Source organism: Homo sapiens, chromosome 13 (genome assembly GCF_000001405.40).
Source record: "Homo sapiens chromosome 13, GRCh38.p14 Primary Assembly".
Taxonomy (NCBI): domain Eukaryota; kingdom Metazoa; phylum Chordata; class Mammalia; order Primates; family Hominidae; genus Homo; species Homo sapiens.
Genome location: NC_000013.11, coordinates 29,913,012 through 29,929,257, shown reverse-complemented (window position 1 = coordinate 29,929,257; position 16,246 = coordinate 29,913,012). Strand labels below are relative to the sequence as shown.

General features: G+C 43.9%; 1 long non-coding RNA gene across 1 annotated transcript; it reads left to right on the top strand.

Moving 5' to 3' along the window:
- The first annotated feature begins 2,606 nt into the window (after nt 1-2,606).
- Nucleotides 2,607-10,611, top strand: LINC00572 (long intergenic non-protein coding RNA 572). Its single transcript, NR_047501.1, has 2 exons — nt 2,607-2,755; nt 10,186-10,611. It is a non-coding gene; the product is annotated as a long intergenic non-protein coding RNA 572 (long non-coding RNA).
- Nucleotides 10,612-16,246: the final 5,635 nt, after the last annotated feature.

The window sequence follows — 16,246 nt, the reverse complement described above, 5'->3', positions numbered from 1 at the left end:
TCAGGCTAAGGCAGGTAGGTCTCTTCCCTCCGTCCAGGCTCCCTTCCTCCCTCCTCCCCATTTCCCATTGTGCTTCTGGTTGAAGAATGCACAGTTCTGGTTAACAGAACTGAAATGGGTCTTCAGGCAGGTTCAAATGAAGTCCTTCCTGGTCTAATGCTTTCTAATCTTTGTATCCCAGACAAAATCAGCCTCTCAGGTTTAACAAGGTTTCTGGTTATCTCAAGTGAAAACAAAACAAAACAAAACAAACAAAAAAACAAAAACAAAAACAACTTTCACATTTTTTAAATAGCCATTTCTTTTTCTTTTCTTTCTTTCTTTTTTTTTTTTTTTGAGACAAATTTTTTTTTTGCTCTGTTGCCCAGACTGGAGTGCAATGGTGCAATCTCGGCTCACTGCAACCTCCACCTCCCGGGTTCAAGCAAGTCTCCTGCCTCAGCCTCCCAAGTAGCTGGGATTACAGGAACCTGCCACCACACCTGGCTAATGTTTGTATTTTTAGTAGAGATGAGGTTTCACTGTGTTGGCCAGGGCTGGTCTCAAACTCTTGACCTCAGGTGATCCATCCGCCTTGGCCTCCCAAAGTGCAGGGATTACAGGTGTGAGCCACTGCGCCTGGCCTAAAATGGCCTTTTCTAATCAGCTTTTTTTATGAAGAAAATTTATTTGCAGGGCTCCTTTTTGATAGACTAAACTGAATACATAAAGAAATATAGGGATAAAATCCAGTTTCCCCAGAAACTTCATTTCAACTTCTCTGCCATGCCCCCACATCCATGCATTTTTTGGTTCTCTCTTCTGCTGGTCCTCATTTGGACACCATGGTTGTGTCTATAACACCTGTGTTATTACTACAGGGGATATAGTAATGCTTAGCACTTTTCATTGTGAACTAATTCTCAACACAAATGTAGTTCACAGGAAAGTAGGCAATGCTTTTATTTCTGGAAAGAGAAAAGTCCATAAAGAACATAGAAGTATTAGGTGCTAGTTCCTTCCCTGCATTCTCATTCAGCAACCTACTAATGATTTTAAAGCACTTGGGGGACATTTGGTTAAAAGAAAATGAGTTTCATAAGCAAGTGGTGTCACTTTATGGAGATTATACTAATTGAGATCATTTATTTCTGAAAGAGTAGCCCAACTTAATGGGACTTAAAGCACCAAATATCTATAATCTCTCTGACTCCCACAGAGAAGACCACCCTGTTTGGAGCAGCAATACTGCTCCTTAAAGTAATATAGGTTGAGCATCCCTAATCCAAAAATCTGAAATCCAAAATTATCCAGAATCTAAAACTTTTTTGGTTGCCAACATGCCACCACAAGTGGAAAATTCCGCACCTGGCCTTAGGTGACAGATGGCAGCTAAAACACAGTCAAAGCTTTGTTTCAGGCACAAACTCATTTAAAATATTGTATAAAATTACCTCCAGGCCATGTGCATAAGATGTATATGAAACATAAATGAATTTCGTGTTTGTTCAGACTTGGGTCCCACCACCAAGATACCTCATTATGTATATGCAAATATTCCAAAATCCAATATATATATATATATATATATATATATATATATATATATATATTCCAAATCTGATAAGAGATGCACACCCTGTAGAGCAAATCCAGATCTGTTCTGAGTTGGAAGTTCAGAAACTAATTCAGCAATGACTACACTTCTGGTGCTTGCAGTATCCCATAATTAGTTGGATGTCATAATAATCCCTATTCTCTTTTTTACAATGGCACTCTTACATCTTACAAAATACTTTAAAGGATTTAATGTTATTTTAAGAATTTTTGGATAAGTTCTTTAAGCCCACTGACAAAATTGAAACAATCCTGGGGGCTTGTGAAATCTGGGTTGGAGATTGTAGAACTTTGTTTTTAGAAGTATCATCTTTCCCTGAATCTTTCATTACCTACCTGATTTATTCAACTCTAATTTTGCAATAAAATGGAATTCTTTTTCTCTCAAATTTGTTTCCTTAAATCAGAATACCCAATCTAATTCCCATCTGTAGATCTGCAGCTTGTGGAATCATTTCATGTCATTCTTTTTAAATTGGCCAACAGCATCCATTTAACAAGCTATTTCCCATAGCAAAGATATCCTTAGTTATGATTTTGGATTTAAGCTGCACTAAAATATAAGGAAATATTGAAACCTTTGAAGAAAGCACTAACTTTACTTCCTTCTTCCAGATCTAGGGATCCCTGGTTACTCCTGAATTACTCCCATCATCCAAAGCTGCTCTCTTCTGCTTATATATAATTTGAGGGAAGCACAATTCTAAGAAGTTACGAACCACCCCTAAGTTATGACTTTTCTAAACATTCCAAGTATTATGATGACTTTCAGACTGGAGATTTGTGCTATCTGCCCAGTCAAAGTCAGCCAGCCATGGTGCATTCAGAACATGTGTTGTCAACAAAAACTGGCATCATAGAAGTGGCTAAAGGTGTACCTCACAGGCCTGGCATCAGGTTCATCAGAGGCACTGCACGTTGAGAAACAGTGGGGTAAAGTGACATCACCAAGGTGAACAGGTGAAATTCAGCTCCACCTTCAAAAGTTATTCTTAGGGAAGAAAATCATCTCTTCTCTCTTCCTCCTTCGGCTCCTGTTGGCCGGTGCCTTCCTGAACCTGAAGAATATCTTTGCTCTTTCCAACTCCCACATTCAAAACAGAGTCTTACAACTCAGCCACATTTTCTGCTGAGCCAGCCAGTGGGAACAAACACCAAGGTCTGTGGCAACCAAAGGTGTATGTGTGTGTGTGTGAGTGTGTGTGTGAGAGAGTGTGTGTGAGAGAGAATGTGAGTACATATTTATTTGTGTTTGTGTGTAGTGTGAGTGGGTGTATGTGTCTGAGTGTTTGCATGTGCGTGAGAGTGTCTATGTGTGTGTTGATATGTGCATTTGTGTGTTGTGAGTGTATGGTTGTGTTTGTGTCTGTGTGTGTGGTATGAGTGTGTGCATGTGTATCTCTGCATGTGTGTTTTTGTGGGGTTTGTGTGTATGCATTAATGTGTGTGGGGGCGGTATGTGTGTGTTTCTGTGTGTGTGTGTGTATTGCTTTTCTTCTAGTCTCCTCCTCCACGCCATCAGCCCACGCAATCCACACCTCATAAAACAGAACCCACATCTCCATCCTACTACAAGGAACTGGAGAAAAAAGAAAAAAAAACAAGCAACAAACCCTCCTGCCAGTCAGAGCCCAAGGAGAAAACTGGATGTAGATTTCAATCCACCCTCCCAGGTCTGCAGGTGTGAGAGAAGGTCACCTTTCTTGAATATCATGACAGTTTTCAGTGTGTGTGACTCATCTATGTTATTCCAGTTCTCCTTCATTAGGGGGATAAAATGCTTTTCTATATTTAATGAATGCCAGTGATTCAGGAGTTTGAGAGAGGTGGGCCCTAATTAGTCAAGCAGGGTTTCCATTACACAGAAAGCTTGAAAGGAAGGATTTTGGCTATTCCTGTGCCAGCAGCCAGAAGCCCAAGCCACACCAGAATAGGGAGGCGTCGTTTTGTTGTCAGTCACCAAGAGAACCAGAGAAAGAGTTGTGAAACCAGGCTAAGGCCCTGGCACTGGCTTCCTTGTCTGTAAAATGTGAGTGCTAGACTGGAGTTCTGGATCTCTGCCAGCTCACAGATGATATGACTCTCTAAAGTATTTGGTCAATATTAGGCAGTCCCCACTGGAAAGCTGGCTTAATAGACAACTTGCAGGCTTAGTCCTGAGAAAGCCTCATGACGTTACTAAGGAATATAGTAGAGAATCCAAAGAGGAGAGGGAGAACTCTACCTACTTTGGTGGAATAAATAGGGTTTTTTAATGAGAGAAGAGTAAGCCCTAGCCCAAATTGTGTAGCAGCCACGGTTCACGTCCAGCTCCTGCATAATCCTTTTTCCCTATCAATCTCAGTAAAGGATTTAAAATCAGTGACTTCTTGTTTTGATGGTTTTGAAGTCACTGTTTTTCCGTCAAAGGGGTATGTGCATTTAAGTTTTATTTTCAGCTGTGGGGTGGAAGGCCTCTCTCTGTGGCAGGAACTGCAGGCATGAGCAGTGGCTGGGGGAATGGGTGTGCACAGCTGCAGCCTCAAGGTCTCAAGCCTGATGTCCTTACTTCTGGTGCAGGGACTTTGTAGATTGGGAGGCCCATTCTCTCTCTCTCTCTCTCTCTCTCTCGCTCGCTCTCGCTCTTGCTCTGACTCTCTCCCTCTCTGCTGATGGCTTATGCTTTCCCTCAAGAAGCACTCAGAACTTTCTGCGGCCGCTCCTTGCTGAGTACAGCTGGCAATCCAGATGCCCCAAGTCCCCCAGCAGGAGTCCTTCCCAGAGGAGTCCTTCCTCCATGGAAAGACACACCAGGAAGCCCTCCTTGGCAGAGGGCTGCCCTCTTTTGCCCTGAGCACCCTGGAGCGAGGCTGGAGTAGCTAGGAGCATGATGAGCAAGTGGGGCTCTCCTCTCTGTTTGCATTCCATTTGATGAGGCAGCTGGCGAAGCTTCTCCCCCGTCTCAGCTGCAGGGTGAGCAGACTGCGGCTGCTGCCTCTGATGTGCTCACCGGAGCATCACCTGCCTCCAGCCAGGAATTCCACCTGTTCCAGTGACACCAAAGATGTGAAGGAAGGATGTCCTCATCCACCTCAAACAACTCCCAAATGAATTTCCTTCTTTTGAGGGGGCTAGCGACAGGAAAAAACATGGCATCACCAGGCACTGAGCACTTTAAGCAGACAGAGCCTCTTGTAAAATAGGAAGCGGAGAGCCTTTAAGTCGCACATGGCATTAGCTGCCATGTCTTGAATTTGGGCAGCCAGTCCAGGCAGGCAAACCCAGCTGGAGAGGAGCAGGACAGGGTGCCCAGCAGGGGGCGCTGTATTGCACGTGCCCCCGGAGACAAAGGCTGCCAATGGAGGGGTGGGTCCTAGCCCCAGCAAGGACGCCAGGAGTGTGACTCAGGTGCTGTTGTTGGTTAGAGGAGTGGCTAAGGCAGGAGAAATCCTGAATCATGCTGTGGCCACGTGGCACCAGGATCACACACTTGGTGAGATTGTGCTCATGCCCTGAGCCATTTCCTCATCCAAAACAAATATTTGAGTTTAAAGAGCTGAGTAAAGCTGCAGAACGTTTTGTAGATTTATCACATTTTCTCTGCTGCAACTAGAGGCCTTGGAGAGCCTTACTTGTGGCAGTCCACACAAGAACCTTGTTTCTGTAAGTAGTTTGCACTGAAAGCCAGTGACTTCATACATAAAGAATGTTCTCTCTGGCTGGCTCGCCCAGTCTCCACTTCTTCTGTTTTGTTTGTGTAATTGGTGCCTAGACAGAATTTTCAAAAGCATTCACCCAAAACTGAAGGGCCATGGGGTATATGGCTTGGGAACAGTCTCCTTCTCCAGCCTCGCATGCCATTCTAGGGCTAGCCTGGCGTTCCCCAGCTCAGAGAAGGAACCCAGCAAGTGCATGACTGTTGGAAGGCAGGTGTTTGTCCTGTTTCTGTCGCAGGCATGATATGTGATCTGGGTGACTTACTTACCCTCTCTAGCTATTAGTTTCCTAACCTGTAAAAATTATGTCCAAGATCCTGTCCAGCTAAACTTTTAAGCCTGTCTGGATTAGGCTCAAGGCATTTTGGGGCTTGTGGAAGCAGCTCAAAGTTGGATCTGTGGTTTGAGTCTCCTTGGGGTGTCCTCTACCTAAGCCAGAACTCGGGCTCTGGAGCAAATGGAGCCAGTCCTCAGAATCACCTTGATATTTCATGGGCCTTTCATGTGGGTTTTTAAGTGACTTAAAAACCCGGGCTGTTAGAAAAACAACAGCAACCACCAGAGACCATCTGGAACTAGAAGAGTCTAAGGGAACAAAGAAAGAGGGAATCTAAGAGGACATGGGTAAAGGGGGATTCCTCAGAGCAACTGCTTCACAGCAGTCATTTTATGATGAGATTTCCATTTTTCCAATACTCGTATCTCCAAAACACATATTCCGTCTCTCTCTCTTCAGAGATCACATTGCCTCTGCCTTTTGGCATTATCTGCCATGTCTCAAATTTAATCAGCCTTTTTTCCCCTTTGTCTTGGCAATAGAACCACTGGTCTCAATGCTTAGACTGTGAGTCTTGCAGTTCAAAGAGAGAATTGAGTCAGCAGAACAGGACTGACTCAGCATTCCCAGGTTGGCCACAGTGGGGCCAATTCTCTGGTCCATATTTTGGCCTAATTCCCATTGAAATCCAATGCCCAGTAAGAAGTACAAGCTTTACATCTACAATTATGAACAAAGGTTTTTAAGCGGCTACAGGGCAAAAAATAGGGATCTGCATCTCTCTATCAGCAATTACCCTAGACTTATTATTATAATAGCCCAACTGTCCGTGCAGTTGCTCACGTGGGCCCAGGGGCCAGGCCATTCCTATGCATGCCCTCAGCTCAGCCCTCCCCACTCATGGCTGATGGGATCAGGCCTACCACTCATCATGAGTTAGGGAGGAGAAATGAGAAATGGAGAGCTGGAAAGATTTTATGTGTTCTTCTTCCCCTACTACTCACCACTAGTTCATGTTTTTATTACTTAGTAGTAAGTTATCCTGAAGAAGTACTTTACTGTTACAGAAATAGAAGGAAAACCAAGAGGTATTAAGAATGCTGAGTCATCATGGGAGCTTGGACGGAGTGACCAGGGGTGAAGTTACAAAAGGTGAAATGTACATCTCTGGGTATCAATAGTAGGATATTCTGGAGATTGAATTGCCCCGAATTACAGCTTGTTACTCGAGAAATAAGGGCCCAAGGGACCTGTGGTGGAAGTGGTAAGCTATCTAGTGATTTGCAGGGGTTATCAACCCTGGATCTGCATGAGAAATGCTCCACAAAAATTAGTCACAGCTATACCGCACCCACTGAACGACGGTTTCTGGAGGGCGGGTCTCAGGCATCAACATCTTTAAAGGCTCAAGATGATCTCAATGCACAGCTAGGAATAAGAACACCAAAACATAGCAAGTACTTTTTTCTCCACTAAGGAAGGAAATTAAGAAATGTCCCAAAAGCTGGAAAGAGACTGTTATAGCATGAAATAAATAAAATTCTATTTTTTTTCTTTTGAGGCGGAGTCTCGCTCTGTCTTCCAGGCTGGAGTGCAGTGGTGCGATCTCGGCTCACTACAACCTCCGCCTCTCAGGTTCAAGCGATTCTCCTGCCTCAGCCTCCCAAATAGCTGGGACTACAGGCGCCTGCCACCACATTCAGCTAATTTTTTGTATTTTTAGTAGAGACGTGTTTTCACCGTGTTAGCCAGGATGGTCTCCATCTCCTGACCTCGTGATCTATCTGCCTCGGCCTCCCAAAGTGCTGGGGTTACATCCGTGAGCCACTGCGCCTGGCCAAAATTCTATTTTTATAAATTATTGATGCTAGTAGCAAGTAACACTCATTATGTGTCAAGTTGTGCACTAAATGCTGAACTTGCATAAATTCACTTAATTCTGATAATCCTTCTGAAAGGACTTATTATTATTAGACCCATTTTACAGAGAAGGACAGCAAGTCTTACATGTAGTGACTTGTCCAAGGCAAACAAATTGAGACGTAGCAGGTGAAAGGCGCATATGTGTAAGGAGTGTGGAAAATACCAAGATAAGTAAAACATAGGCTGACTCTCAAGTTGCTGGCTTTGAGTGTCAGAGCAAATGACCAAAAGTCCAAAGCAACATGACAACTGTCATAGAGCTACAAAGTGATGGAACCACAGGAGAGGCAGAATTAGTCAGGACTTTGTAGTGGAGTTTGAGCCTTAAAGAATGAGCTCCAGATTCTGCTAGGCAGGGATGGCCACCCACTGGTGGCAGGAGGAGGAGATTCCTGGGAAAAAGCATAGTGCCTAGAAATCCAAGAAAGCAGCTGAAAGCTGGCAAATGGCCTGGTCAGATTAAGGTTAAAAAAAGAAGGTAATATAAGGCTAGGAAGGGCAGTTGTCCTAAATTGTGGGATTTTAAGTGGGATCTAGGAGGAAACAGGGCACCCTGCAGGTATCTGCACAGGGCATGTGATGGAGCAGTGTTTCCAGAGGAGCTGCCAACCTGGGAGCCTCTGGAACCTCCTCTAAAGGGGCGTGAAGCAGGGTTGGACCACTGCACTCCCAGTGGACCACAGAAGAAGGAAAGAAGGCTGAAGCCATCTGGGAAGATATTAAGCCTACAGCCCTCATATTTGATCATGCCGTCTTGGAGCTACTCTACACCCTCCCACAAAGCCTACCTTATTGTCAGGAACCACACCCCTGGCCCTGTCAGATCACTGGATTACCCCATGTATCATTTTTCTTTGTTAGCTGAGGTTGCTGTTAATTGTTTTTTAATGTGAAAGAGGGTGTGCAGCTATGTTCTATATGTATTTTGGATTTTTGTTGCTCACATATTTATTTAGATATTGCACTTTTTCTTTGTCTGTGATGACACATGATATTTGATTTTTTTCATGAAGGGGGGAAGTGAAGAAAATGAGAATATGGGCTTCTGAGCTAGGTGAGACTTCCTTATATTTCCATAAGCAAAGCATATCAAATTTTCCATGGGAGAACCTCTTGGGATTCTGGGGGTGTGGCCTATTGCAGCGCCCTAAAAGGATACATTTCTTTGCAGTTTTGTGTTTTATTTTTAAATGTCATGTAAATCCTCTAATCCCATAATATATCCAACCCTTCCTGTTATGCTGTACCAGGTTTATCCTGTGACTTGTTGACCGCTGGCTCACCCCTATGGACCTGTTTCTGATGAGAGGCCATCCTGATTGTTTCTGTCCAGGGCTGGGTTATTGATTTGGACATGAGTCACTTGAAAGACAGCTCTAAACTGTCTATTTCACTGTGATCAAAGAAACATACATTTGACTAAGAAGCCTTATGTCTTCTTTTTATTGTATAGCTTAGCAGTTGCAAGATGTTAACATATATGTCACATTGACCGCTGCGTGGAAAAATGCTCTCCAATTAAAGATCTCTTTGTTTACAACAAGGTCCATGGAGACAGATTGCTAACAAAGTCCAATCGCCCTCTCCATTGTGCAAAACCTACATGCAGGGAGTCTAAGGAGGGAAGAGGAGTTTTAGAGGGAACAGAGGGGGGTTGGTCATTTGCCAATATAGGTTGGCAGCAGGAAACTATCCTTGACTAATTATCTTTGGGTAAAATAGGTACCTTCTTTAGAGCTCTATCCTCACACACAGTAACACCTCTTGCTCCAAAGGCTTGTGACCTCCCAGGTACACCTTCAGTTGCTTCCTCTCAAGTCATCAGCTTTTGTCCTCTAATACAGACTTGTCAGCTCAGCTTTTCTATGATTTTCCTCCTCTATCCCCCACCCCCAACCCCCTTTTTTTTTTAAGATAAGGTTTAACTCTGTTGCCCAAGTTGGAGTGCCATGGTATGATCACAGCTCACTGCAGCCATGAACTCCTGGGCTCAAATGATCCTCCTGCCACAGCCTTCCACGTAGCTGGGACCACAGGTGTGTGCCATCACACCCGGCTAATTCTTAAATTATTTGTAGAGACAGGGTCTTGCTATGTTCCCCAGGCTGGTCTTGAACTCCTGGGCTCAAGTGATCCTCCTGCCTCAGCCTCCCAAAGTGCTGGGATTACAGGCATGAGCCACCTCACCTGGCCCTTTATCCCGTCTTAATGAGGGGGTTAAGAGAGTCCATCTTTCTACTCCATCTGTCTCTTCTTGGTCTTCTCCAGAGATGTTGCCTCTTTAACAGAGTATTAATGTCAGTGTTCCCCTAGATCCTGCCTCTCTTCTTCACTTCGACTGAACGAGGGCCTTCTCCTCACCAGTCCTTGTCCCTGGCCCGCCTCTATAGGGCACAGTCATGTTTGATGGGTGCCCTCCCCTGAAGGATGCTGCGGCTGCTCACCACTGAGCCCTTCTGCTGGGAGGGGGCCTCCCCAGGCTCCTCCTGCCCTGAACCTGCTCTGGGGCTCCTGCTGTGACCTCAGTTCAGCTCTTCCAATGACCAATGACCACAGTTGGTAATGGCTTAGGGTTTATTCCGAATGTTTCATTGCTAGCCCATCTATTTTCTTTTCTGGTCAAGCTAAGTTACAGTGGTTAATATATATTAGTGACTCATTAAATATTTCTTGATTTCGATATGCCTCCGTCAGAGACCTGGAGCCACAGAAACACTCATACATGAGCCAAGAAGAAAAAAATTGTGTGGCAGCTGCCCAGCTCTGCTCTGCAACCATGCGCTTCCTGTTTACTGACTAAGACCTGATGAACCTGTATCTACTACTGCCCAGGGCACATTAAAGTCACCACAACCCCTGCTAGATGACTATTTTGATATGGAGGGGAAAGAATTGCTCCCCTCAGCCCATGGGGATAAATTTAGGACCATCACTGGCCAGCCTTATGTCCTTGCCTGAGGAGTTGGAACTGGGAACCAAAAGGGAAAGTTCACCTGACTTGGAAACGTGCACACAAGCAGTCTCTCAACACTGTGACGTTTATAGTGAAGGAAGCATCACCGAAGAGAGTTGCGTTTCATTCGGATGGCCTGGCCATAATAAACTGTCCTGAATGGAACACTTTCATGGGTCTGCTTTGGGGATAGTTGGAGCAAAGTCGAATCTGTTACCTGAAGTCAGGTTTGGAGATGGGCAAATGATTGCAGAGAGGACCTGGAAGCAGGAGGGAAAACACTGGTCTCCAGTGAGAGGCCCTCAGGGTATGGGGAGAAGATAAGAAGTCAACTCTCACCACAGGTGAACTGGAAGGAGAACAGCTACCCAAAGACCCAAGTGTTGGGTGGGTAGACGTCTGACCGTGTACCTGGTCAAGCTCTTCAAGTCCTTGTGGGAGGGATGGAAGCCACTCCAGAGGCAGGATCTCAGCTGTAGCCTGAGGCTGGTAGGTCAAGCAGCAACAGCAGGGAGGTTGCAGAGTGCCCTTACAGAGCAGCTTAATTGTGGAGAGAGCAACCATAGAGCAGATCCTGGCCAGTAGGGCTTTTTCTAGACTCCATTCCCCCAGCTTCCTGAGTTTCTGCTCATGACAGTTGAAAATAATTACCAAAGATACAATGGGGAGGAAGCTGCATTCTTTCTTTTTTAACTACCCACCATCAGCTTTTCTAGAAAGCGACTTTCATGCTCTCTACCCAACAGTGAAAAATTGTGAATGAAAAGATCATTTCTTTGCAAAAACAGACATAATTTCACAAGGAGTGCATCCAAAGCAATGAAGCTTTGTTTCTGGGTTCCATGGACCAGTTAAATGAACCACATAAGAGAGAGCCATTTAGAACAGGCCCTGCTGTTGAGCACACTTCATGAAAAGGGGCTCGGAGTCATATTGCACAAAGGTTTTCTTAGGAAGCCGGGCCTTCACTGATGCTTGTCCAAACGACTCACTGTTCTCTACATGTGAATGGGATGTGTTGTTGTCATGGTTACAGTTAACAGAAATTCAATTCAACATAATGACATATATATACATCAATGGTGACATCAGACTTGACCCCTTTATGTCTGAAAAGAAACACTAGTGCCTCTCTTTGGAGGTTCTGTTGGGGCTTTATGAAGCTCTGTGCAGCTTTGGGCTTCCATACATTCATTTAATTTATAGTTATTGAAGTCTACTATGTGGCAGACACTATGCTGGCACTACAGATACTGGAATAAATGATCCAGTCTCTGCCCTTAAGGAGCTTAGAATCTGGGAGGAAAAATAAGACCAACGAGTCTATCACATGGGGCAAGGGTATTGTGAACAGGAAGGTACTATAAAGGCAATCCTGAAAGGATGCATTCTTCAGATAAGAAGTTCTAGCTTGTTTGAATTATGGCAAATGGAGTGCATTAGTGTTCTATTGGCCTTGTAACAAATTACATTAGTGGCTTAAAGGAACACAAATTTATTATCTTACAACTCTATAGTTAGAATTCTGACGTGGGTGTCAATGGGTTATAATCAAGGTATCAGCAGAGCTGTGTTCCTTTTTGGGGGGCTCTAAGGGGAATCCATTCACTTGTCTTTTCCAGCTTCTAGAGGCTGTCCCCACCCCTTGGCTCATGGCCCCTTCCTCCATCTTCAAAGCCAGCCACGGTGCGTGTCTCTGACCATTCTTCCACAGTTACGGCTCCCTCTGATGACAGCTGGGAAAGGCCTTCTCGTTTTTAAGAACGATGTGATTAGATTGAGTCCTCCTGGATAATCCAGGCTCATCTCACTATCTCAGGGCCTGAAACTTAACCACACTTGCAAGGTGAAATATTTACCAGTGCTAGGGATGAGGATGTGGACATCTTTGGGAACCATTATTCTTCCTGTCACACTGAGGAAAGATTTGTCACTGTAGAGATCTTATTTCTATATTTTTTTTTCCTTTTTTGTTTTTTCATTCATTACCCAACAGAGATGCTCTTTGCTATCAAAACACCATTGCCTGTGGTGGTGGGTGCAGGAATGTATTGGGCAGAGCTGCTGGAGTGGGGAGGGGAGTAGTTACTTCAATATCTCCTGATAGAATGTGGAGTTTGGGAAAGATAACTCAATTTAATATCTATATTTGAAAGGAATAATAAAGTCATGTCACATAATGCTAACTATAGGAGGCAAAGCTCAACCAAATATTCTTGGCCAGTGAAGCTAAGCAGAGATGTGGCAGCTCCATTGCCTATGATTGGGAACAGGGCCAAGGAGTGGGGGTGGACATTGAGGAGGACACTTCCCTGGGGGATTTATATCAGACTCTTTCCAGAGAAGATGGAAAAGCATTGAGTTAGGCCAGGATAAAAGGCTTCTAACGAGTGTCCCCACCCCCATGCTCTCTTTAGTCTAACCCATTTTCAATTTTTTTTTCTTACCCAGTCATGGGTTCCTTTGAAAAATACTGTGCTGAGGTGTTTTATTTGTAGCTGCAGGTCTGGAGCTGGTATTGGCAATACCTGGCACAGGGCAGGTTCTCAGTAAATGTTTGCCGAATGAATGAAATACAGTGAATGATTGCTGTTCATGTTACTCCTGTCCCAGAACCTGCAACAGCCCCCCATTATTCACTGAATAAAATCCAGTTGTTCCAAACTTGCTCCCCCATTCCCTTCCATCAGCTTATATCTCCCCAGGTCCAAACCCTCTCTTTTCCAAGGCTGTATTATCAGCCCAAGTCTGCTTTGGCTGCCATGACAAAGTACTACAGACTGGTGGCTTAAACAACAGAAATGTATTTTCCGGAAACTAGATGTTTGAAATCAAGGTGCCAGCAGGGTTGGTTCCTTCTGATGCCTCTCTCCTTGGCTGGTAGATGGCTGTCTTCTCCCTGCATCTTCACGTTGTCCTCCTTCTGCCTCTTGGTGTCCAAATGTCCTCTTCTTATAAGGACAATGGTCATATTGGATTAGGGCCCACCCTGATGATCTCATTTAAAATTACCTCTTTAAAGGCCTTATCTTCAAATATAGCCACATTTGGGATACCAGGGACTAATATTCCAACCTACAAATTTTGTGAAAACATAATTGAGCCCATAGCAAATGCTTATCTCATTCCTTTCTTTATAGTCTTCTCTGATTCTTTTTTCCTTATCTCTTTTCTTCCTATCTTCTCTGCACCAAATTTTTCCCACCTTGCTCAGTGCGCACGCACACACACACACAAACACATTCACACTCATCCTATAAGTCATTTCTCTCTTCTGAATAACTATAGCCCTAAATATTATTCTTGTGGTACTTACCACTTTTATCTTGTATTATATTATCTTGTGTTATACTTTACCTTGTATTATACCACCTTGTCTTATATTATTATACATATTATATGTGTTATTTCCTCAACTAGAGTGTAAGTTCCTTCTGGGAAGTCCCTAATTTTTTTCTCTCTTACATGGCTTGACACAATGTCTTGAACATAGTAAATGCTCAAGAAATATCTGATGAGTGAATGAAGATGGTAGGAGATAATTAAGAAGCAGTCACTTGAGTATGGGATGAGTTAAATATATTACAGATACATTTATTTCTCGCTTGAGTAACAGTTCCTAGAGGGCAAGAAATCAGAATCATGGATGCTTTATGATGAGACTAATAATGTACACCAGAAAAGCTGGCTGGTCCCACAGCAGCGTAGTCCAGTGGTATGGCCAAGAGACATTGAGCACCATTGCTGAGAGCACCAGTTCTGGAGCTGGACTGCCTGGGTTTGACCTTGTCTATGTGCTATAATTTGGATGTGGTTTGTCCCCAGCAAAACTCACGTTAAAATTTAATTGACAATGTAGCTGTGTTGGGAGGTGGTGCCTTTAAGAGGTGATTAAGTCTTAGGATAGATTAACGCCTTTCTTGAAAGACTGGGTTAGTCTTGCAGGAATGGATTAGTTCCTCCAAGAGCAGGTTGTTGGAAAGTGAAGTAACAATTTTTTTGCTCTTTCCACACATCTGGTTCCCCTTTCATTTCTCTGTGATGTTTTGACCCAGCATGAGGATCTCACCAGAAGCCATCAGAGGCAGCCACCTGACCTTGAATTTCGCAGCCTGCAGAACCATGAGCTAAATAAACCTATTTCTTTATAGAGGCTTTTTGCTTTAGCAACACAAAATGAACTAAGACACTGTGTGACCCTGAAAAACTTACATATCCTGTGTCTCAGTTTCCTCATGTATCAATTGAGATAATATATGTATCCTCCTCATAGGCTCTGTGGCCCTTAACATAGAGCCTGGCACATAGTAGGCACACAGTACATGTTGGCTATTATTATCACCAGTGATTTCAGATGGCTTTAAAGTGCCACTGACTTCTACCCTTTAAATGGAGTCATTATATTTCACTGCAAAAATAGGATAAGTTCTTCAAAAACATGACACTTCCTCCCAAGGATCTGCAATTAGCTTTGGGTATTATTCTCCTTTATGTGTGTGTTTCTGGACATCGTGCAGGAAAAGCAGGTAGAACTTGTTCACGTAGTGGTTGGGTCTTTGTGAAATGTGACAGCCAAGTCCCTGATTATTCTCAGAAACGTCAGAATTCACTGGATGTGACTGGGCTTGACAGTTCAATGGCTAATTAACTCTAAACACTGCTTCTTGGGTTACCTCATTTGAAATTCTTGGTCACTTATTTTCTTCAGTCTTCTAAAAAATCCATTTAGCCGTTTTAAAGAAGGTAGGAATGTGGCATGCAACAGATCGGTGGTGAGGGAGTGCCTCAGCCAGAACCTTGTACCCTGTGGAGGTGCAAGTGAGGTGTAGGTAATCAGGGTTGTCCCTCTCCAAGGCCTGCTCTTGAAACGTGGAGGGAGCCTCAGCATGTGCAAGACTCCCAGAGAAAGTCACACCAGCCAATACTGAGTTCTGATTTTTCTGCTTCAGAGAAGGCTTTCTTTTCTCTTTTGCCTTGACCTTTTCCAATGAGAGAATTTTCTCAGGACTTGCCTTTTTTACCCAAAAGCCTCATTAAAAACAAATAGAAAATATGCTAAATGAAATAAGCCAGTCACAAAAGAACATAGATTGTATGATTCCATTTATATGAACTATCTGGAACAGGCAAGTTCATAGACAGCAAGTAGATTAGAGGTTACCAGGGGCTGGGCGGAGAGAGGAATGGGGAGTTATTGCTTAATGGGTACAGAGTTTCAGTGTAGGGTGATGTGAGGAAAGGGTTTTAGAAATGCATAGCGGTTGATCCGGCACTGTGGCTCACTCCTGTAATCCCAGCACTTTGGGAGGCCGAGGCAGGTGGATTATTTGAGGTCAGGAGTTCGAGATGGGTGGATCACAGGGTCAGGAGATCAAGACCATCCTGGCCATCATGGTGACAATATATCTATCTCTACTAAAAATACAAAAATTAGCTGGGTATGGTAGCACACACCTTTAATCCCAACTACTCGGGAGGCTGAGGCAAGAGAATTACTTGAAGCAGGGAGTTGGCGGTTGCAGTGAGCCAAGATTGCGCCGCTGCACTCCAGCCTGGTGACAGAGTGAGACTCCATCTCAAAAAAAAAAAAAAAAAAATGCATAGTGGTGGTGGAAGCACAACATTGTGAGTGTAATCGATGCCACTAAACTCAAAATGCTTAAATGGCATATTTCATGTTACGTATATTTTAGCCCAATTTTTTAAATGTTGAAAAGCAAAGAAAAAAGCATTGTCCTCACCCAATCACATATAGGACTGTCCATGCTCAGACTCCTGCAGATGGGCCAGATGTACCACATG